Here is a 24,778-nt window from a genome sequence, read left to right on the forward strand (position 1 = left end):
CTGGAGTGCAGTGGCATGATCTTGGCTCACTGCAACCTCCGCCTCCCAGGTTCAAGTGATTCTCCTGCCTCAGCCTCCCAGGTAGCTGGGACTACAGGCACGTGTCACCATGCCCAGCTATTTATTTTTTATTTTTTTGTATTTTTAGTAGAGACGGGGTTTGACCATGTTAGCCAGGATGGTCTCAATCTCCTGACCTTGTGATCTGCCCGCCTCGGCCTCCCAAAGTGCTGGGATTATAGGCATGAGCCACCGCGCCTGGCCTTCGGGTATGTCTTTATCAGCAGTGTGAAAACGGACTAATACATATGTACATGCATATATACATATATACAGATGCTTTTCACTTGGCTTTCAACAAAGATGTATTTATCACATTTGCTTTTCATGCAAAATGTTGTGACCAAGTGAAAAAAGATAATAAAATAGAACAAATAAAATACTGAAAGAAAAAGCTCTTGAATTTTGCTGAAATGAAAATTTAATGATAAATGAGAAGGCCTCTATTTAACATAAATGTAACCCTGAATGTGTTAACATTGTCCTCTTTGACATAATAGATAAATATATTGAGCTGTAATTACTATACATACCATACTAAGTGCTTGAATTTTAATCTAATCTCTGCCTACAAAAAAAAAAGAGAGTATAAAATTGCTTCCTGGTGTTCTTAGAAGAGAGAATTAAATTCATAACACAACCTTCTGAGCACTGTGCCCTGCGTCCTGCTTCCCCTTCCTTTATTCTCCATGCCCTTACACTATTTCATTTTCTTCATAGCACTTCTTTCTTTTCTTTCTTTTTTTTTTTTTTGAGACAGATTCTCACTCTGTCACCCAGGCTGGAGTGCAGTGGCGTGATCTTGGCTCACTGTAGCCTCCGCCTCCTGGGTTCAAGTGATTCTTGTACCTCAGCCTCCCGAGCAGCTGGGATTACAGGCGCCTGCCACCACGCCTGGCTAATTTTTGTATTTTTAGTAGAGATGGGATTTTGCCATGTTGGCCAGCCTGGTCTTGAACTCCAGGACTCAAGTGATCCGCCTGCCTCGGCCTCGCAAAGTGTTGGGATTACAGGCATGAGCCACTGTGCCCGGCCTCATAGCACTTATTTCTAGCTCTCATTTTTATATTTATTTCTCTACCATATTAAAACTTGTCATTGAAGTATAACATATGTGCAGAAAAATGCACAGGTGAATTGCTGGATGCATTTTCTGGGGGTCATGGACTTTCAAAAATGTTATTTATGTAGTTGTAAAATATACATAACACAGTATTTGCCATTTTAACGATTTTTTGTTGTTGTTGTTTTTGTCTTTGAGACAGTCTTGCTCTGTCGCCCAGGCTGGAGTGCAGTGGCGCGATCTCGGCTCACTGCAACCTCCGCCTCCTGGGTTCAAGCATTTCTCCCTGCCGAAGCCTCCTGAGTAGCTGGGATTACAGGCATGAGCCACCACTCCTGGCCCCATTTTAACAATTTTAAGTGTACAATTCAGTGGCATTGAGTACACTCACACTGTTGTGTAGTCATCACTGCTATCCATCTCCAGAACTTTTTCATCACCTCGACTGAAGCTCTGTACTCATTAAACATGAAGTCCCCATTCCCCTCCCCACGGCCCCTGGCACCCACCATTCTACTTTCTGCCTCCATCAATCTGACTATTCCAGATACGTTATATGTGGTCATGAGTCACTAGCTGTGACCCTGAGCACCTGACATCATGTGCCTCCTGTTTCTCTTTATTTGGCCTAAGTGTATTAGTGTTAAGCCATGTGATGACGGTCCCCAGCCAGCTACGCTGCCTTGAAGACTGTGCACAGGGATTTTTCTCTCATTTCCTGTCATTACTGTGAGAAACTGTGATGCAGCTAATGTTTCCATGTCGGACCGCAGTCTCCAGTGTGAGCAGGAGGAGCTGCCAGCTTCACAGTTAACTCCTCTTGCCCGTCACAGTAATAAGTGGATTCCTTCCACTTAAGTGGATTCGGTTAAGAGCCCAGTGGTGCTGTGAACACCATCTCTCAGAACAAATGGAAGCTATGTTTGAAGGATGCTGCTTCTACTAGTGATGATTTCTGAATTTTTCCTCTTCATCTCCTCTGAAAGATTTCTTCCTAAATAGGTAGGTTTTGTATTCAAAACAGCCTCTGTTTGGAAAAAGAAAAAGTGTTAATTACGCAGTTCTGCTTCTTTCCTGCCATTACCCCTTCTCCTAAATCTGTTTTAGCTGAATAATCTCCTGAATCCTGTTTAGCTGAATAAGGAACATCTGGGGCTTTTAAAGGCCTTTTTCATGTGAGAGAAAGGCACATCTGTTTTAGAGTATTTCTGGAAAATGAAAGAGCAGAATGGAAATTTGACAAGATTGAAGTGTGCTGGGAGAACATGTCCACTTCTCACTCCAGAGCCTGGAAATCACGATGACATTTGGTTTGGAGGAAATGGCCAGTCCTGCAGCTGGGCCTGTCTCCCTCCAAAGCCCACAACGAACCAGCGAGCAGTCCAGTCGTCATAAATGTGGACCACAAGTTCCTCTCTGGAGCTGCAGAAGACTGAAGAGGAAGGCGTTTTCCCTCCATTTGCAAAGTAACAAGAACCAAGGGCTTCCTGACCTCATGGGTGTCTTGGAGGAACGTTGAGGATGGATGAAATTCACAGGACTCAATAATCGTCCTCCACTCATCACAGCCTCCCTGTGTTAGAACAATACAGCCACTCTCTGCGCCACGTGACTTTGCATTATCTCCCACGTGTGCAGATGGAGTCTATGTGTTCACCTCACTGATTTTGAGTTTTCCCATGTGACCTGCTTTGGCCAACAGAATATGAGCAAAAGTGGCAGTGCAGCAATTCAGACACAGGCCTCAAGAGACATGATGTGTTTTCACCCACCCATCGTGTGCTATGCCATTTGACATGAGAAGAACAGGCCTTAGGGAGCTGCTGCTGATCCCTAGGGAATGAGATAAATCCCAGGGAGCGAACCTGGATCTGAGCTGCAGTCTGAAGCCAGGCTTAGCTGACCAGGTCTAGCCTGAAGCAGATTGATGCTAGCTGACCTCCAGACTCGTGAGTGAGCAAAATAGGTGTTCGTTGTTGTAGGACACTGAGTTTGAGGTAGTTTGTTACACAACATTATTTTTGCAATAGCTGAGTAATACAAAGGCCAAAATACAGAAGCCAAGAGTAAAAGGGCAAGTGAAGTAGGTGGCTGATGTGTGAGTCGATACGGAAGTGATGGTGGGATCTGAGCAGACAGCATGTGGGGAAGGGCCTGCAGGAACAAGGTGGAGAGGATGGAGGAAAGGAATACTGCACTGCAGCCCAACAGAGCCTGGATGGAGTGGCAGCCCCCCTCCCCACACACCCCTCCTCTGTGCCTCTGCAGAGTACTGGGCCTTTCTGGTATCTTTGTTCAGTGTTGCCAATATCCAGGAGGCTTCCAGAGAGTAGAAGTTTGACTCCTAACAGGGTCAGGATTTCCAGTTATGGGGTCAACCTGGGCTTATAGTCATGCTATGTCAATGGAACAATAATGGAAAGGTGGGGCATGTGAGATCTAAGGAGAACGCTGCTGAATGGGTATTGGCATCACTAGCTGGGAGCTCCCTAACTCTACACAGTCATTAGTACAGGGAACCAGCCCTCCGAAGCAGAACTTCCAGGCCATGTTGGTGTGAGCAGGGCTCTGAAAGGTCCTGTGACCTTGAGGAAGCTACTTAATCTCTCCAAACGCAGGCTAGGGGGTAATGGGGATAATAACAGTACCTATCCCCACAGGACTGTTACAAAGAGTTAATGCGGGGAGCCTCTGACACAATGCCTGGCACAGAGTGAAGCCCACCATTAATTAGCATCAATAGCTATGTCACCATTTCTTTTCTTTTTTCTTTTTTTGAGTTGGGGTCTTGCTATGTTGCCCAAGCTGGCCTTGAACTCTTGGGCTCAAGTGATCTTCCTGCCTTAGCCTCCTGAGTAGCTGGGCCTACAGGTATGTGCTACCATGCACAACTTATGCTGCCATTTTGTAATGAGACTGATATCTGGCGTTCAGTAAGAAATGGATATGTCTTGTTTTTCTGAGCCTAGATATTTCTTAAAAGTAGAAGGCCGAGCGCAGTGGCTCACGCCTGTAATCCCAGCACTTTGAGAGGCCGAGGCGAGCAGATCACCTGAGGTCAGGAGATCAAGACCATCCTGGCCAACATGGTGAAACCCCATCTCTACTAAAAATACAAAAAATTAGCTGGATGTGGTGGTGCGTGCCTGTAATCCCAGCTACTCGGGAGGCTGAGGCATGAGAATCGCTTGAACCTAGGTAGCAGAGGTTGCAGTGAGCAGAGATTGCACCACTGCACTTCAGCCTGGCGACAGAGTGAGGCTCCGTCTAAAAAAAAAGTCGAAGTCCCAGCAAATAGACTGTCGCACTCAGCCTCCTGAGTAGCTGGGATTACAGGCACGCACCACCACATCCAGCTAATTTTTTGTATTTTTAGTAGAGACGGGGTTTCATGATGTTGGCCAGGATGGTCTTGATCTCCTGACCTCAGGTGACCCACCCGCCTTGGCCTCCCAAAGTGCTGGGATTACAGGCGTGAGCCACTGCACTCGGCCTTCTACTTTTAAGAAATATCTAGGCTCAGAAAAACAAGACATGTCCATTTCTTACAGATCTCTCCTTGGCAATACCCTGAGCAGAAATCTGACTTCCACCATTTGTTCCTCAGCCCACATCAGCCAACCTGCTGGCTTTTGTTTTCTTTCCCCTTTCTCTGTTTCTCGGGAAATCTGTCTATTCTTATGCTTGTAGGGGGAAAGAAAAGTGGAGGTGGACCTGAAAGAGCAGATGGCAGAGCTCAGCAGCATGCTACCTCTTGCCACCAGCTTGGGCTGTGGAAATGCTATTTTATAGTTGGCAATTCCACCATGAGCTAGGTGACCCCTCTGCTGCACCTGTGGTTTGTGAAATGGATCATATGACCTTCAACAAAACAACAGCTGGGGCTTTTTAAACCAGGAAGATCCTGCCATGCTAACTTGCATTTCTTTTCCTAACCTACCATAGAATCTTGCCCTAGTTCTGCCTTGCACTCTTTTTTTTAGGGGAGAATTTCCAAGGCCAATGAGCTCCCTACCTAGCCATTTTTGCATTTTTCTTAGAGTTTGTGTGGAGAAGCCCGTCTCTCTCAGGAGGCAGTCTTCCCCATTGTCTTCTAAAAGCTGGCCCTTCTGGAGGGTTTCAGTCTGTCCCTGGTCCTGGTTCAAATCTGAGTGAAGATGCAGGAGGATGTAGCCACCCTCCTCTCAGAGTTCATGATGAGCACGGTAAGGAGATGATCTCACTTCTTCCCCAAGAACCTTTAGCTCTTTAACAACTTGCAAGAATGAAATTTCTTCTATTGGTTTCTCTCCTCCACTCTTCCCCAAGAGAACAAGCCAAATACTGTACAGGTCCTCTTGCATCAGAGTTGAGTGTTTGTACTTCTTTATTATATAAATCAGTCATAGAAGGAATTGCTCTTCATAACAAAAGCACACAGTTATTGACTTCCTACCATGTGCCTGTCATTCTAAGTGACATGTATTTATTCATGAATCCTCTCAACCTTATGAGGGAAGTACTATTATGATCTCCGTTTACAGATGAGGAAACTGAGGCTCACAGGGGCTGAATAACTTACCTAGAGTGGACAGCTGGTAAGCAGGAGTGGCAAGATTTGCGCTCGGGAAGTTTGATTCTGAAGACTGCGCTTGTTCTTATAACGTCATAATGCTTATTTTCACAGTATTGGCTGGGTTGAAGACCACAATAACATTTATTTGCTTATTTTTTCTGCAAAAGTAACAAATATTCAGCAATGTTCAGAGATTTGGCAGCCTCTTAATAGGCTCCAGTAATAGTCTGGCCTTCTGTGGATGAATGTTCGTTCTCTTTAGAATATGGATTATTTAATGCCTCTTCGTCTCCAACTTGGAGCCCCAGGTACCAATTTCAGGCACCAGAAAAAGTTCATTCAACTTCCTGTTGGTAGGCCAACATCTCCCACTCTCAGCCTAGCTGAAACCAGCTTAACCATTTCTTTTGCTAACCCTCTTTCCTCTCCAGTTCACACAGAGACCCATGTAAAATTAGATCTATTTTTCCAAGACTTGGTGTCCTCAGGCCGTAAGTCTTGGGGTTGTCTTTGCCTCCTCTGTTTGGTTGGCTTCTCATATCCATTAAGTGCCTTCTGCCTGGCCCTCTTCCTCAGACAGCAGCCTTCCCACCTCATCAGACTAATCTCCCTAGAGCTCTAGGGTTCTACTAAGAAAGAAATGGCACCCTCCAGCTGAGTAACTGCAGGGTATAATAAAGGCACTATTTACAGAGGTGAAGGTGGGGTTTAGGAAAAGCAGCAGGGAATGGGGCAATGCCTCAGGGCTGTAACAGCTGGGAGTCACTTCTATTCCTAGGCCTGCAAGGTCCAGGGAAGGAAGCAGTCAGTAGTCCCCAAAGAGAGCTGTGTGGAGCCCACCCCTGACAGGGGCCGTGGCCCTAAGGGGAGGGGCATAGACAACTGAGGCCAACAGGACAGGAGCTAGGGGTTGAGGGGTAAATACCCTGACTTCACTTCCCTCCCTGCCTTCCTCTATGGGATTTGGGGGTGCCTCTATGGGATTTGGGGGGTGCAGTCCACATAGGCCAACCTCCCAGGCAGGCACAAAACAAGGTGGAGACAGTGGGAGTGGACCTGGGAGGGATACAAGGATGGGCAGCATATGCCATTTTTGCCTCATCATTCCTCTGATGAGAGATCTGCAGTGACTTCCTAGTCCATATTGGGTTAAACCTCATATTGAAGGAATTCCACTTCAACCTCACGTAATTCAGCCTTTTCCTTTCCTGTTCTGTAGAGTATAGGCATTCCACTCACAGAAGCTGCTGTCCTTACTCTGCATGTCTGTTTTATATATTACATAGGTTACACACATTTTAAAATCTTAGTCATTGATTTATGTTACTCAGAAATCCAAGTCCAAAGGGACTTTTGTGTTTCTGGGACAAGCGTCCTCCCAGGCCTCTCCCAGGCGGTCTGGCAGCCTAGGATGTAGCCCTGACAGCCTGGCCAGTACTGAGATGACAAACGGACCTGCTCATTGCTGAGGGCACATATAAGAAGGCTCTGGCACAGTGGTGAAAGCTTAGGCTCTGAATCTAAAGAGACTGGATTTAAACTCCAGCTTTGCCAGTTACGGTGGTGGGATGAGTTACTTCTGCCTTCTGAGTCTGTCTTTCCTCATTTGTAAACAGAGGATGATTCTACTAGCACTTCACTGTGGTTGGGATTAAATGAGATAAACAAATGTAAAGAGATGGGCAAAGCTATCAGGGGAACTCAGTCAGGGAAAGGACTGTGTTTTACTCACCTTTAAATTCTTGTACCTAGCACAGTGCCTGGAACATAGCAGGTGTCTGGTCATTGTTTCCTGGCCTGAACTGATGGGGAGGCCCTCTGGCTATTTGGGAGCTGGCCATGTTAGTCAGTTCTGAGGTAGCAAATGCTCTCTCTCCCCTATCTTTGCCAGGCTTCTTCTGCCTACCATTGAAGGGTTCTGACGGTGGCCGTGTGTCAGTAATCCACTCAACACCTATTTCCCTAGCGCTGTCTTTATACAAGGCTCTGTGATGCCCCTTACTTGAAGTCAACTGTAGACAATCTATGAGCGCATCCCGTTTTCCATACCTGGGTTTATACTGCCCTCTGGTGCACACTTATGGGACACGCGCGTTAAATGAGGGCTTCTGCTGGGTGACCTTTCCTTGACATTGGGGAAGAGAGGCTCCCCTATAGGGACAGCCTGCAGTGCTCTTTCGAGGAGAAGTGGTGTTTAAGACGCCCTCCTCACCCAGTTTAGCTTGTAGCTCTTGAGGCTTACCAAACTCGAGGCTTTTTTTTTTTTTTTACCAATGTCTCTGACCCTAGGCAATTAAATAATACCATCCTTCTAGGCTCAAGTTTCTTTCTCCAGCAGGCACTTTTTGTCCTGCCAAGACTCAAGAGGAATGGGGTAGAGTTTATTTGAGTTTATCTTTCTCCCTCTGCTGTCTGGTTTCCTCTAATCTCTGGGCTCTTGATTCTTATGGCTGCCCCAGCTGCTCTCAAGGGTCTGGGGTTGGGGGAGCCAGGGGAGAACCAGAACCAACGGTTCCTATCCAGTGCCTGGCCCCCTGCTTCCACCCCCGCCTCACTGTCTATCATTCCTTCCCAGAGACAAGCTCCCAGCTACTGAAAGCGAAGTGGGGTCCTTCAGGGAGAAGGAGCAAAGGGGAAGGGAGGGGGTTAAAGTTCAGCCCACCCTCCTCTGGCCTCACCATGAAACCTGCTAGAAGTATTTGTCCTTCATGATTAAGTTGAATAACATAAATTTGCTGATATGCAACTATGTTTCACCTACATAACCAGAAATTTTATATAGTTCAGTGGAAAACTTCACACGTAAACCCTGTGCGTGTTTGTGTTGGCCTGGAGCCCCAGGTTTCCTGAGCTCATTCAGACCCAGGAGAGCCAGGCTTGTGGAACATCAGGATCCCGGACTGTAAAGCTGAAAGGAGGGCCCTAAAGCTGGAGAAACAGTTGAGTTGACCTTAAGGACCTGGGACCACCGCCCCTCCCTGCATCAGGCCTCCATGTTCCTGCACAGGTGCTGCAGTAACCTCCAGGCTGGGCTTGGTTTGGGGTGCTCAGACAGGGGACGGCAAGGGAACACTGAGGAAGGCCTTCTTCTTGCCCAACTGTGCTCACCCTCCCGGCTATACAGGCAAGATTTTCTGGGACCTTCAGGAACCTCAGTCTTCTGGGGACATCTAGCATCCTCCCCTCGCCTCTGCTGCTGAACTCTGGTTGTGGGGCTGCTGTGCACAGGAAGCTTCAGGTGCCAATCCTGGGAAAACACTGGCTGTGCGTTGGGGCCAAGCTGATCAGAGGCAGCTCCACGGCCTTGAGAACACTTTAGCTGGCTCCAGTGCCTCGCCAAACCTTGGGCACAGCTGCCAGGGCAGGCCTGGTGCGACAGGCATCTAAAACTTGCCCAAGGAGTGAGGGCAAGGTGGCCTGGGAGGTTTTAAGCTGCAGAGTAAGGGAAGGCTTGTGAGTCACAGTTCACAGGACTCACTAAGGATGAGAAAGTTTCCCTTCTGTGATTCACTCGCCTGCCTTGCAAAATCACCTGACCAACAGATAGATCTTGATGTCTTGGAACCTGGTGGTTCAGGTTAGAAACCTGGACTCTTTCCTCCTAGGAGGATGCAAGCAAGAGAGGGAGGGGCTCAGCTCAGACCATTGTAATCATCCATCCACCCACCCACCCACTCACTCATTTATTCATTCATTAAATAAATGGTTATTGAGCATTTATATGTGCCAGGCACTGTGCTAGTTGCTTGGCATACAGCAGTGGACAAAATAGACAAAAATCTCTGCCTTCCTGGTGAGGCAGCCTCTTGAGTCAAGCCATTAATAACTAACTATGCTGTTGCCCAGCTAACATTTCTATTAAATAACTGTTACCTCTCCTACCGTGGGATAAAGAGATAACATGTTTTTTTAACTTCAATAAGGGGAAATGCTCAGGATATGCAGCCATCCTTCTGTATCCCTGGGGGATTTGTTCTAGGACTCCCCTCCCACACCAAAATCTTGAGCATATCAAGGATGTTCAAGTCCCTTTTACAAAATGGCATAGTATTTGCATATAACTTATGCAAATCCTCCTGTACGGTACTTCAAATCATCCCTAGATTATTTATAATACCTAAAGCAATGTAAATGCTATGTAAATTGTTGCTATACTTTGCTGTTTTTATCTGTATTATTTTAAATTTTTATATATTTTTTGAATATTTTTAATCTGTAGTTGGTCATATCTGTGGATCCAAAACCCTCAGATATGGAGGGCCAACTTTTTTTTTTTTTTTTTGAGATGGAGTCTCACTCTCTTGTCCAGGATGGAGTGCAGTGGCATGATCTCAGTTCACTGCAACCTCTGCCCCCCGGGTTCAAGCAGTTCTCCTTCAGCACCCCAAATAACTGGGATTACAGGTGCCTGCCACCACGCCTGGCTAATTTTTTTTTTTTTGTATTTTTAGTAGAGACGGGTTTCATCATGACGGCCAGGCTGGTCTTGAACTCCTGATCTCAAGTGATCCACCCACCTCGGCCTCCCAAAGTGCTGGGATTATGGGATTATGGGCGTGAGCCACAGCCCCAGCCATCAACTATAATCTTAAATTTTAAAAGCCCAATACAAGAGATATCTATATCTATATCTATCTATCTATCTATCTATCTATCTATCTATCTATCTATCTATAATATGTTAACATATTTGTGCACAGAAAAAGGGTAGAGAGGAAGGAGCCCCTAAATATCAGCAGGGGTGTAAATCACTAGGGGTATATGACATACATGTGCATAGAAAAAGGACAAGGAATAACCCCTAAATATCAGTAGGGGAGATTGTATTTTCTAGGAGGGCCACAAGATCCCCTGTCCCCTGTGCTCTTCATACAGTATGACCATGATGGAGAGGTGTGATCTAAGTTCCCTCTCCATGCATTTGTGACTATGGAGGCAATACAACTTCTGCCTGGTCCTCCTGGGATGCTCACGTTGGAAACTCAGACACTGGTGTGAGAAAGCACATGGAAACGCCACACATGGGTGAACTGGCGCTAACCCTGCTGACCTCAACTGACAACCAGCATCAATCACCAGACACATGAGTGAGGAAGCTCCTCTGTGACCTCTGACTGAGACCCTGTGAGAGACCCCAAGCATGAACAGCCTAGCTTAGCCTAGCCAACGACCAGGATCAGAAATTAAAAATGAATGTTGTTGTTTAAAACAACAGAGTTTGAGGGTGATTTGTTATATAGCAATAGCTATCCAGGAAAAAAGTATTTAACTTCTGTATGGTGAGATCATGGATATTAATAATACTTTTCCATATTTTCCAATATTTCTATAATGACCATTTATTTCTCTTATAATCAGTAACAAAAGAAGGGAAAACTTGGTCTAAACACGAATTTAGGGACTTAAACTAGACTTGGAGAAAAGCTTTCTATGCAAGATTTATTAGATACTGGAAAGGATGAGGAAGACAAATTTAAGTCAATATGATGGAAAGAGTGGTGGATTTGGAATGAGGAAACTTAGAAATGAATCTGTTTTCTGGGTGACCTTGCGCAAGCCTTTGCTAAAATTTGGTTTTCTATTTTGAAAAACGCAGCTGGCTGTTTAAGGAAGATAATATCCACCAGGGCGCCTGGCCCAGAAAAGGCGCTCTGTAAGTGGTAGGTGGATCCTGTCTAATCAACGCCAATTATAACCAGGCATCTGCAAGCTTTGTGGAGGGCGCATCTTTCACTGCTACCAGAGCCTACAGTTCTAATAATGAAAATTGCCTGGAAAAGAACCACAACTCTTAAAAAAAAAAAAAAAGTCCAAAATCACAAAGTGGCTTTTGCAGCGGTCCTTGCCTGTGACGCCGGGCCATGGCTGGAGCTCCTTGCTCCGTACCTCTCAGGAGCCTCCATCCTGTACCAATGGCCAGAGAGCCGGGGGGTGACAGACAGGGGGGCCGGCAGCCGAGCCAGGCAGGACGCTGCGCGCCGCGTTACTGGAGCCGGTGTCCCGGCAACCCCGGAACGCGCCTCTGTGGGAGAAGCAGGCGGCTGCGGTGTCCCTTTTGCCCTAGGCTCTCGGTTCTCAGGCCTCGGCGTGCGGCGTGCGTTCGGCAGTTCAGTTGCCAGTTGGTTCGTTGGTCCGTGGAGGCCTCTGAGCACAGACCCGGGCCTCCCCTGGGGAAGGGGGTGGGAAGACCCCGAGGTGGAAAAGAAGGAGCACCTTGAGCTGGATGGGGGCTGCAGCGAGCCTGGTTCGGGCTGGGGGCGGACTCGCTGGGGCTCCCAGGGCTTCCAAACCACGAAACGCCCAGGTGGAGGGAGTAAGGCTCCCGTTTAGAGGCCAGTCCTGCCCTCCTGACTTTCGGTGGCTTGTGGAATTTGTTTGTTTTGACTGATACCTTTCTTACGAGGGACTTTCTTTGTCTCTGGGTTGCTTCTAATATTTAAAATCATCATGGGCACAGATGAGTCCATCCATGCTCACTGGAAACAGTCCACGGGGCTGCCGTCTCCCCTCCATCTCAAGCACGACCTGCGGCAGACAGCTGGAGAAGGTTCCAGAAAAAAGGGACTCTGGCATGACCGAGGTGGAGAGGACCTACAGTTGAGTTCTAAGAAATCCAGGCTGTGGAGTTGGTGGCCACATCCAAGTATACTACACCCGGGGGCGGGGGCAGGTGGGGGGCACCATTTGAAGTTTAGAAGGAAGCTAGTTTGGGGGCATGTAAAAAGAGCTGCTTGAATAGTAGCTTATGTTTGTGCTAACCCAAGATTTGATTAGGCAGAGAGCACCACCAAAGCAGAGAGTCTCATAAATTACCTCACTGGATCTCACAGCAGTGGAGAAGTATATTACCTATGAGTAAAGGGAGCCAGAGATTTGACCTGCCCAGTGCTTGGGTTAATAAAAGGTGAGCCTGGGATTTGACATGAGCCTGGGATTTGACATGAGTCTGCCATACTTTCGAGCCTGTGTCCTTTCATCTTTCCTTTGCTCAGATATTAGTAGGTTTGTGTCATTGTTTATTGGATGGGACAGTTCAGGTGAGAATTATGAACACTCTAAAAATTAAATAATGGCTGGTAGCTCCATAATTGGTTAAGGCCGAGGAGGGTATTTGGGGGCACGTTTGCCTTTGGAGAACAGTGTCATGGCGCTGAACAGCCACAGTCTCCCAGAAAAGCTCAGAGTGCGCCTGCGCTCAAGTTCTCATTTACCTGTTATGGGTGAGTGGCCTGAGTGCTGCAAAAAGGGGTTGTGAAATATCCAGACTTTGCGGGATCAGATCTTAGCTTTCTCCCTGGTCTTCTGTATTCTGGGTGTGTGATCTCCTCATTCTCCTTCACAGTGGGGAGAAAGGAGGGAGGTACAACTCATTCCACCCAGCTATTAATATAAGCTAGGACCGTAGAGAAGGAGGAGCTGGAGGAGTTAGAGCTATTAATTGTCCAAGTGTGTCTGCAACAGCAAGGAGAAAAGGGTTCTGGGATTCTAACTTTAAGCTCCAGACCTTCCTGCAGTTTCCAGTTTGGGGTAAAGGAAGAAGCTGCTGTTTTAAGGATGTCCTAGGGAGGATCCATGTTTTCGAGTTAGGGGTAGCAGAAGGGTACCAGGTCCCAGACCACATTAATGAAAGACCCATGGTGTCCTTTCCTGCTGTGTAGGTGAGTCTATTCAGGAGAATACATCTGAGTTTAGCTTAACATGGAGTCTATGGATTTCAGCAAGGAAGGGGCTCCACAAACCAATTGAAGATACGTGTGTGTGTGTGTGTGTGTGTGTGTGTGTGTGCATTTTTCCATCAGAGAACCGATTGCTTTCATTACTGCTCATGGGGGAGAGGATAGAATCAAAAAACGGGTTAAAAACTTCTGTCCTTGATCCTTAGGCCCCTTGTGAAGCAGATAAGCAGGGGTGGGAAATAGTGTTTGGTTAAATGAGTATCCATGTTAAACAAACATGGCTTGATGTATTATTTTTCTCCCTGCCAGACAGAGCTATTATGACAATCAGCTGAGATGACAAACATATGAAAGTGCTTTGGTTATGTAAGGTGTTATTCCTGCCTAAAAAAATGGAAATAATTATCCTGAATTCCACAGATGGCAATAAAGAAACAGACTTTCTTCCAAATTCTCTTTTTTCCCTTGAATTCCTTTCTGGTTACCAGAACCTTCTCTTGGCCTTTAATTACATCATTTCTTCTTAATTTTGCAGTGTTTTAGAAACTTGTTAGAATTTTCTGACTTCTGGCTTACTTGACATTTATTGCGCTTGAATAACAATTTTCATGATAAATGGTGAAACTTTCAAGCAGGGTGTATCTCCTTAGTGTGTTTGTCTCCCCACAGCCTTCTGAGCTAGATGGGGGAGAGGGCAGCCACTGGGAGCTGGGCGTGGAGAAGTAATTGACTTGCTCAGAGTAGCTGGATGGTACTCTATGCAGTGGGAGCATCAGTATTAGTATTAGCGTCAGTATTAGTAAGTGTTCAGGCTTGCAATTCCAGCTTCTCTTCCAGCTAATCTTCTTTTACCAGGGGAGGGGCGGGGAGGCATCTTGAGAACATGTTTAAGTGTCTCCAGCTCAAGTTTGAGGTTGAGTTACTCTCAGGAAGATGCCGTAGTCAGCTTGATCTAGAGAGTGTGCTGTTTGCCAGTTTAGCAAGAGATTGCTCTTCCCATCCTTGTCCATCAGACAAGCTTTCCCCATTATAGTGGCCACAGGCCACTTTCTAGAGTGCTGCTGCCACAAAACTTTTCAAGCAAGCAAGGAAGTGTGCTAAAGTTTTAGGTGTGTTTCACTGCTCGCTGCTTAGGGAAATGCAGTACATTTACATTTTGTTCCTAACACAAACAAAAAGCTTGGGAAAGGACCCTCTCTGATACCATCCATAGAGCCAACCAATTCTTGCTTGGGTGAACTCTCAAGTCCTATAGTGGCAATATACAACTAAAATGTTTACATGCTATGAAAGGCAGCCACTGTTAAAACCTATGGCCAAAAATTACCATAAGTAAATCTTACTGTAAATACCTCAGAACTCACATGCAATTATTGACATAGAGGACATCTTTGGCCTTGATTTCATTTCATTCACATATGTGAATCCATTCTACATCTCCAAACATGCATTTCATGGCTTTTTCATAGATACATTTCTAGATGTAGAACTATTGAGTCAAATGACATGCACTTCTCATAGGCTTCGGAAGTCACATATGGCCAAATTGCTCTTCAGTAAGATGGGGACATTCCCACCAGCAATGATAGGAATGCCATTCCTCCAAGCTGTGCCAAACACCTGGGTGTTTGCAAACGGATAACAAATAATGGCATCTCATTTTAAATTCGGTTCTTCAATTATTTGGATGGGGCCACGTACAGTGTCTCATGCCTGTAATCCCAGCACTTTTGAGGTGGGTGGATCACTTGAGCTCAGGAGTTTGAGAGCAGCCTGGGCAACATGGTGAGACCCCATCTCTACAAAAAATACAACAACAACAAAAAAATAGCTGGACATGCTGGTGTGTGCCCATGGTCCCAGCTACTTGGGAGGCTGGGGTGGGAGCATCACTTGAGTCCTAGGGGCAGAGGTTGCAGTGAACCGAGATCACTCCAGCCTGGGTGACAGAACAAGACCCTGTCTCAAAAAAAAAAACAAACCCACAAAATAACCACCCACTCCCCCAAACCCAATTATTAGGATGGATGAAATTTCCCCCAAATACATATTGGCTATATGTATGTGTTATTTTATTTTATCTTATTCTGAGATGGGGTCTCACTCTGTCACCCAGGTTGGAGTGCAGTGGTATGATCAGGGCTCACTGCAGACTCGACCTCTCCAGCTCAAGCAGTCCTCATGTCAGCCTCTCAAGTAGCTGGGACCACAGGTGTGCAACACCACGCCCAGCTAACTTTTTAGTTTTTTGTAGAGACCAGGTCTCCATATGTTGCCTAGGCTGGTCTTGAACTCCTAGCTTCAAGCAGTCTACCTGCCGCAGCCTCCCGAAGTGCTGAGATTGCAGGCATAAGCCACCTTGTCCAGCCTGTTTTTAAAAATAAGTTACCTGATCACATCTTTTGCCCTTTTTTTTTCTTTTTGGATATTTATTTTCATCTTATAAATTTATAAAAGCTCAAGGAGTGTAAATTAGTTCAACCATTGTGGAAGACAGTGTGGCAATTCCTCAAGGATCTAGAACTAGAAATACCATTTGACCCAGCAATCCCATTACTGGGTATGTACCCAAAGGATTATAAATCATTCTACTGTAAAGACACATGTACACGTATGTTTATTGCGGCACTGTTCACATAGCAAAGACTTGGAACCAACCCAAATGTCCATCAATGATAGACTGGATAGAGAAAACGTGGCACATATACACCATGGAATACTATGCAGCCATAAAAAAGGATGAGTTCATGTCCTTTGCAGGGACATAGATGAAGCTGGAAACCCTCATTCTCACCAAACTAACGCAAAAATGGAAAACCAAACACTGCATGTTCTTACTTATAAGTGGGAGTTGAACAATGAGAACACATGGACACAGGGAGGGGAATATCACACACTGGGGCCTGTCGTGGGGTTGGGGGAGGGGAGAAGGATAGCATTAGGAGAAATACCTAATGTAGACGACGGGTTGATGGGTGCAGCAAACTACCGTGGCATGTGTATAACTATGTAACAAACCTGTACGTTTTACACATGTACCTCAGAACTTAAAGTATAAAAAAAAAGCTCATAATTTGTCATGACTACTCACTCTTTTTTCTTTCTATCATGTTGTTATAGATTTTCCCCCAGTTTATAGTTTGCTATGAAAGTTTTAAGTTTATATTTAAAGAGGCATATTCAAATCTATGCCTCTTTTCCTTTATTTTGCCTGTATTTGGTATCTTCTTGGCAATAACTTCTTCACTCTAAGATTATATAAACTTTCACTTACTTTTTTCGGGTACATCTTTAATTTCAATTTTTACATTCAAATCTGTGAGTCATCTGGATTTTCCAGTTTGGGATAAGAAAGGATTAATTTTATTTTTATTCCAAATGGTTAATTAGTTGTTCCAGCAATATTTTTTGAATAACCCATCCTTTCTTCACCAAGATAAAATGCCACTTGTTTTCATATACAATTTTATTCTATTTATGTTTACTATTTTGTTCTATTGATTTGTCTGTTAGGGTTTTTGTCAGTACTGTCTTGATTATTTGAACATTAGACTACATTTTATAAATTATACTCCATGGCTATGTAACCCTGAACAAGTTATTTGACATTTCTGGAGCTTAATTTCTTTATCTGTAAATTTATCTCTATTTTATTTATAATTATGGCCTTGTTTCATTTCTATTATTATTATTATTTTTGTTTTTTTTTTGGGATGGAGTCTCACTCTGTTGCTCAGGCTGTAGTGCAGTGTGGCATGATCTCAGGTCACTGTAACCCCCGCCTCCTGGGATCAAGCGATTCTCCTGCCTCAGCCTCCTGAGTAACGGGGATTACAGGCGTGCACCACCATGCCCGGCTGATTTTTGTATTTTTGGTAGAGACGGAGTTTCACCATGTTGGGCCAGGCAGTCTTGAACTCCTGACCTCAGGTGATCCACCTGCCTTGGCCTCCCAAAGTGCTGGGATTACAGTCCAGGCTCTAATATTATTTATTTGTGTTTAAAATTTTTTCTTGAACCTTGTTTATCTGCATTATCAGCTTTTGCATGAAGCCATAGTTCTGATAATCTTTATTTCATTCATTTCTGCTTTTATGATTTTATTCCTTAAAATCTTTTCGGGGGGAGAGGGGTTACTCTTTTTTTTTTCTTATTTCTTAAATTGACAACTTGGCTCATTCATTTTGGAATTTTTGATTTTGAACACTATAATCCATCAATTCTTGGATAGACAGTTTGCATCTTTGAAGTAGGGACTGGATGTTACCAGGTCTGTGGGCCCAGCAGCAGGTAGGATGTAGTTGTAATAATTTTTGCTGTATGAGCACTGAAGCATGTAGAACGTGTGTTCATAGCTTGGAAAAAACTCCAGAGACAGTAGAGAAGCACTTTTGCGCGGTGGCTCACGCCTGTAATACCAGCACTTTGGGAGGCCAAGGCAGGCAGATCATGAGGTCAGGAGTTCGAGACCAGCCTGGCTAAGAGACCAGCCTGGCCAATATGTTGAAACCTCATCTCTACTAAAAATACAAAAATTGGTCCTGGCGCCACTGCGCCTGTAATCCCAGCACTTTGGGAGGCTGAGATGGGTGGGTGACCTGAGGTGTGGCGTTTGAGACCAGCTTGGCCAACATGGTGAAACCCCGTCTCTACTAAAAATACAAAAATTAGCCAGGCATGATGGTGGGCACCTGTAATCCCAGCTACTCGGGAGGCTGAGACAGGAGAATCGCTTGAACCCAAGAGGCGGAGGTTGCAGTGAGCTGAGATTGCACTACTGCACTCCAGCCGGGGGGACAGAGCGAGACTCTGTCTCCAAGAAATGAATAAATAAATAAGCTGGGTGTGGTGGCATGCACCTGTAATCCCAGCTACTCGGGAGGCTGAGGCAGGAGAATTGCTTGAACCCTGGAGTTGGAGGTTGCAGTGAGCCGAGATTATGCCATTGCACTCCAGCCTGGGCGACTCTGGCTCAAAAAAAAAAAAAAAAAAAAAAAAGAAAGAAATGCTGCATCACTCAACTCACATTTTTATTGAAATATTAGGTCAGTATTAGGTGGAAAGTGTGGACAATAGTGATTGAGTTGAAAGTGGTTTAGTAGTCAGATTTCTGAATGTGCATAAGATTTAGGAATGCCTTAACCAGTCTATTGTGCTTATATTTTCCTTCTTTATATATGTGCATGAGTGATATGTGATTAAAATCTATAAATAAATTAAAAGAATGCATCAATAAGTATAAAATAAAAATTCTAAGTGATAAAAGCATGTATCATACTTTAATTGGCAGCCTTTGTTCTTTGTGATACATAAAATAACGATGCTATTACAATTGATGGTGCCTTATATTCAGTGAAATACAGCATATGCATTCAAGGCCCCAGATTTCTAATTACTGCTTTAGTTGAATCCCACAAGTTTTGATATATAGTACTCAATGTTCATTGATCATTAAGCAACTCATGATTTCCATTACAATTTCTTCTTGTATGTGAATTATTTAGAAGTGTGGTTTGAGTTTCCAAGCTTATGGATACTTTTTGGCTGTCTTTTTATTATTGATTTCTAATTGTATTGCATTGTGGTCAGAGAGTGTGGTCTATGTATTGTTGATACTTGTTTTGTGGCTTGGTATATGGGTGGTTCTTCCTTTGGTTACTGGGGACCCGTCTCCTCATCCTCACCTGCTGCTTGCCTGCCACCTCCCCTGGGCTTGACTCCATCCCAGTTACACCTCAAGCAACCAGTTGGACCTCACTGTGCTGGGGGCTGCTCTAGGCTCTAGGGCATATTCCAGAGCAGCACTTCCCACACTTGGCTGACCCTAAGAATCACCTGAGGTGCTTCTTAAATATCCTGGCTCCCAGACTGTAGGTCTGAGTCAGAGCCCTGGGGCCTGCATATTGAACAAGTACCCCAAGGGGATTCTCGTGACTGGGCAAATTCAGGAAGTTCTGTGCAGTTGGGAATCTGGAAGTGGAACTGGATAAAATACAGTGCAGTGATGGAACTAGACTTCAAGAAGGAGATTACTGCCAAACGTGAGCCTAAATGAAGAGCAGGGGTGAGGGTGGGGGCTTATTTAAAATGCAGGTTCCCAGGCCTCACTTGGAGAGATTCTAATTCAATAGGTCTGCGATGGAATTTGAGAATCTGTATTTTTAACAGGCTTCCTGGGTAATTCTGATGCAGATAGGCCTTGCGCCATGTCCTGAGAAGCCCCAGAGTGGGAGGATTTTGAAGGGAGGGAGTAGCTCAGCTGAACTTTAAGCTTTGTAGAGTAACAGGCAAAGTCCTCTTAGGAGTGAAAGGTTTGGTGATAGATCGGGACTTGATAAGAATGGAAAAGGTATTATTCACTTGTGATATGAATTTGAGAGGAAATGAATAAAAAATTCTCTGAGTAGCAGTCCTGCTGATAGATGGTGGGAATTTGCATAGTTTACACTATACAGTCATATCAACGGGTTCTGCATTGGCAGATTCGACCAACTGCCCATAGTAAATATTCAAAAAGGAAACAACAAGTCTGGGTGTCGTGGCTTACACCTGTAATCCCAACACTTTAGGAGGCTGAGGCAGGTGGATTGCTTGAGGCCAGGAGTTTGAGACCAGCCTGGCCAACATGGTGAAACCTTGTCTCTACTAAAAATACAAAAATTAGCCAGGCATGGTGGCGAGTGCCTGTAATACCAGCTACTCATGAGGCTGAGGCAGGAGAATCACCTGAACCCAGAGGCGGAGGTGGCAGTGAGCTGAGATCACACCACTGAACTCCAGCCTGGGTGACAGAGTGAGACTCTGTGTCAAAAAAAAAAAAAAAAAAAAAAGAAAAAAGAAAAGAAAACAACAATATAACAACAAAAATAATACAAATAAGTATATAACAACTATTTACATAGCATTTGCATTGTATTAGGTATTACAAGTAATCTAGAGATGATTTACAGTACAGCATACAGGAGGATGTGCATATGTTATATTCGAATACTACACTGTTTCATATAAACGATTTGAGCATCTTTGGATTTTTGTAATTTTTGTATTGCGGGGGTCCTGGAACCAATCCCCCGTCGATACCAAAAGATGACTCTATATGTGTGAAGCATGATACTGTGTAGGTGGAATAGTAGTCAGTCTAAAAATGTACTCAAGAATCAGAGTTTGACTCTTATTTCTTACAATTTTCTCATAACCAGAGGTTACATTGCCATCTATTGAGCTTTAGTGCTCTACGAAATTATGCATAAAGAAATATGCATAATCTTTTCATCGGACTTTTTATTTTTGTGGCTGGATGAGGTACATAACTGTATGAGATGATAACAGAACAAATTGGCTTTCATGAAGTATTAATAGTATAGCAGAGTGAAGATAATGGATATTCTTCTATGTCTGACACTCACTGGTTTTCAGGACTCCCTTACTTGTAACTGTGGGTGGTTGGGGAGTTATAATTCTTTTTCATTTATTCACTCAAACATTTATTGAGCACCTGCTTTGTGCCAGGCACTGTTATGGATTCTACTAAGATGAATAAGAACTGTGAGGGGAACCCACAGAAGTTTCTGAGGGCATTCTTTGGGTTGTGATCAGCATTATATTCATCAGTCTTTTTATAAACAAATCCTTTGGAAAATTATATTGAGATGCTTAATACAATGTACAGTGCTATATAGCTCACTTCAGATCCTAGGTCTTCCACTTAGTTCAGAGTAGGTGAACTATATGTAGGGGCAAGCAGTCTAGTACAGGGCTTAGAATCTCAGGCTTTAGTGTCACAAGAGCTGTAATCAAATATGGGCCTAGATGTTTTCTTTTTTCTTTTTTGTTTTTCTGAGACAGAGTCTCTGTTGCCCAGGCTGGAGTGCAGTCATGTGATCTCGGCTCACTGCAACCTCTGCCTCCTGGGTTCAAGCAAGCCTCCCACCTCAGCCTCCCAAATAGCTGGGATTACAAGAGTGTGCCACCATGACCAGCTAGTTTTTGTTTTTTGTAGAGACGGGGTTTCACCATGTTGGCCAGGTTGGTCTCGAACTCCTGACCTCAAGTCAGGGTGGATCTTATCTGATCCACCCACCTTGGCCTCCCAAAGTGCTGAGATTACAGGCATGAGCCACCACGCCGGGCCTAGATGTTTACTTTTTATGCAATCATAGGCAAGTTTCTTAGCCTTCTCAGCCTCAGTTTTCTCAACCATAAAATGGGGATAATAAGGAATACCTAAGCCTGTGGGTTGTTATAGGGATAAATGGAATAATATGTGTAAAGGTGTTGACATAATCCTCAGTGCACAGTAAATGTTCAATAAATGTTAGCTGTTTTAAAAATTTATTTATAATCTAGGAAACAAAATAGGGTGGAATGTATTTTCAATAATGTAATTAAATGGTGATATCTCTGTGTTACAGGTGCTAATTGCAGTGATTTTCTGGAATCTAAGGGATGTTTTGCCAACACAACACCCTCTGGCAAAAGTGTCAGTTCCTCATCTTCTGTGGAAACAGGCCCAAGTGTCAGTGAGCCTCCTGGCCTCCCCAGAGTGTCTGCTTACGTAGAGTAAGTAAGGGTCTGGTGCAGAGCTGTCACGGTTGGGGAGATTCTGACCAAGAAGCCAATAGTCTGAGAGGTAGCATGGTATGCTTGGCAAGAGCATGGATTCTGGAGCTAGACTGTGTGGGTTCAAATCCCGGTTCTGCCACTTAGTATCTGTGTGAATCTGAGCAAATTACTTCACCTCCCTGGGCTTCAGTGTTCTTATCTGTAAAATGCTGATGATAGCTTATAGGATTGTTGTGAGGATTAATTGAGTTAATAGCTGGAAAGAGCTTAGAAGACTTCCTGGCACACAGCAAGTTCTGTGTAAGTGCTTGCTATTACGAAGTTCAAAAATAAGTGAAACTATATATTTTTGGGATATGTACATACATACATGGGTGGTAAAACTTAAAGAAAAGCAAATAAATGATTATCGTAAGAGTCACAATTAGGGTAGTGGTTACTTTTCCCGGAAAGGGACCCACACAGATGGTTTCTGGGGAGTGGGGAAGGGAAGGACTGGCAATGTTTTGTTTCTTTTGTTTGGATAGAGACAGGGGTCTCTCTCTGTCACCCAGGCTGGAGTAGAGTGGTGTTATCTTGGCTCACTTTAACCTCAAACTCCTGGGCTCAAGCAATCTTCCCTTCTTGGCCTCTTAAAGTGCTGGGATTACAGGTGTGAGTCACTGGGCCGGGCTAACGTTTTGTTTCTTGACCAGGATGTTGGCTTTGTAATTAGTTGTAAAATTGACTTTGTGTTTTATGTACTTTCCCTGTTTATATTTCTTTTACAATAAAAAGTTTTGAAAATGCTTTTCTAATAATTTTTGTTACAATGGAAGTAATTTAAGTTTATTGTAGAAAATTTGAACAGATGAAGACAGTATTGAAAATAAAAGTCACAGCCGGGCAAGGTGGCTCACGCCTGTAATCCCAGCACTTTGGGAGGCCGAGGCTGGTGGATCACGAGGTCAGGAGATCAAGACCATCCTGGCTAACATGGTGAAACCCCAACTCTACTAAAAATACAAAAAATTAGCCAGGTGTGGTGGTGGGTGCCAGTAGTCCCAGCTATTCGGGAGGCTGAGGCAGGAGAATGGCGTGAACCTAGGAAGGCGGAGCTTGCAGTGAGCCGAGATCGCGCCACTGCACTCCAGCCTGGGCGACAGAGCGAGACTTCGCCTCAAAAAAAAAAAAAAAACAAAAAAAAGTCACATGGCTGGGCATGGTGGCTCACACCTATAATCCCAGCACTTTGGGAGGTTGAGGCCAGGAGTTCGAGGCCAGCCAGGGCAACACAGTGAGACTCCACTCTACAAAAAAATACAAAAATTAGCCGGGCCTGGGGGTGTGCACCTGTAATCCTGGCTATTCAGGAGGCTGAGTTGGGAAGATCAGTTGAGCCCAGGAGTTCCAGGCTGCAGTGAGCCATGATCGAGCCGTTGCACTCCAGCCTAGGCGACAGAGTGAGAACTTGTGTCAAAATAAATAAATAAATAAATAAATAAATAAATAAATAAATGTCACTATAATTTCACATCTTAGAGAATATGTTAACATTTTGATATTAGTTTTTTATATGTGCAAGTAAACATATTTTTTGCACATAAAATATATATTTATTTTACAATTAAGATCATATTATATTACTCTTTTGTAAAACCTACTTTTTAAAAAGATTTATTAAGGGTTTTACTATTTTTAGAGCAGTTTTGGGTACACAGAAAAATTAACAGTAAGGTACAAAGTTCCTATGTACTCCCTGCCCCAACACATGTACAGCCTCCCCCACTATCACATCCTGCACCAGAGTGGGACATTTATTACCATGGATGAACCTACATGGATACATCATAATCACCCAAAGCCCCTAGTTTACAATAGGGCTCACTCTTGGTGTTGCACAGTCTATGGGTTTGGACAAATGTATAATGGCATGTATCCATCATTGTAGTAGCTTCTCTATTTTTATTTATTTATTTATTTTTGAGACAGGATCTTGTTCTGTCACCCAGGCAGTGGCATGATCATGACTCACTGCAGCCCTGACCTCCCAGGCTGAAGCAATCCTCCTGCCTCAGCCTCCTGAGTAGCTGGGACCACAGATGTGTGCAACCATGCCCAACTAATTTGTAAATGTATTTTTTTTGTAGAGACAGGATCTTACTATGCTACCCAGGCCAGTTTCAAACTCCTGGACTCAAGTGATCCACCTGCTGCAGCCTCACAAAGTGCTGGGCATGAGCCACTGCTCCCAGCACATTATGGTTTCACTGTCCTAAAAAATCCTGTGTGTTCCATCTATTCATCCCTTCCCACCCCTCCCACCCCCTGGCAACCGCAGATATTTTTACTGTCTCCATAGTTTTTTCCTTTCCAGAATGACATATAGTTGGAATCGTATAGTATATACCCTTTTCAGATTGGCTTCCCTCAATAATATGCATTTAAGTTGCCTTCATGTCATTTCACCACTTAATAGCTCATTTTTTCATTGCTGAAGAATATTCCATTGTCTGGATGTACCATAGTTTATTTATTCATTCACTTACTGAAGGACATCTTATAAAGGCAGCTTTTCCACTGAGCAATATGTGGAGAGAATTTTCTCATACCTTTGAGTGTTTTTCAAGAACATGGTTTTCAATGACTGCGGTGCTTGAGTGTCAGATGAATAGACCACAATCTAACCAGTGACCTATAGTTTTAAAGAGTTGCTATTGTAAATAGTGCTGTAATGCGTGTCCCTGTACATTCAGCTTTTGCCCATCTCTGGTTATATCATAAAAGTAAATTCCTAGAAATGGATTTATTCAGTTAAAGTTAAGGGAAGTTGCTCAAGTGATTCTTTATATCACAAAATCTGCTCCAAGTGGACTTGCTGCC

The 24,778-nt window shown here is 44.3% G+C and overlaps 1 protein-coding gene across 2 annotated transcripts in view; it reads left to right on the forward strand.

Annotated features, from left to right (window-relative positions):
• Nucleotides 11,690-24,778, forward strand: part of SPATS1 (spermatogenesis associated serine rich 1) — a 37,530-nt gene continuing 24,441 nt past the window's right edge. The window contains exons 1-3 of one of the 2 annotated variants that reach the window (NM_001372081.1): nucleotides 11,690-11,808; nucleotides 12,136-12,274; nucleotides 21,766-21,913. In NM_001372081.1, coding sequence (NP_001359010.1) covers nucleotides 12,136-12,274; nucleotides 21,766-21,913 — 287 coding nt within the window. In that variant the 5' untranslated portion in view covers nucleotides 11,690-11,808. The remainder of the gene's footprint in view (nucleotides 11,809-12,135; nucleotides 12,275-21,765; nucleotides 21,914-24,778) is intronic. The other variant, NM_145026.4, reaches the window with a different exon arrangement.

Source organism: Homo sapiens, chromosome 6 (assembly GCF_000001405.40).
Source record: "Homo sapiens chromosome 6, GRCh38.p14 Primary Assembly".
Taxonomy (NCBI): domain Eukaryota; kingdom Metazoa; phylum Chordata; class Mammalia; order Primates; family Hominidae; genus Homo; species Homo sapiens.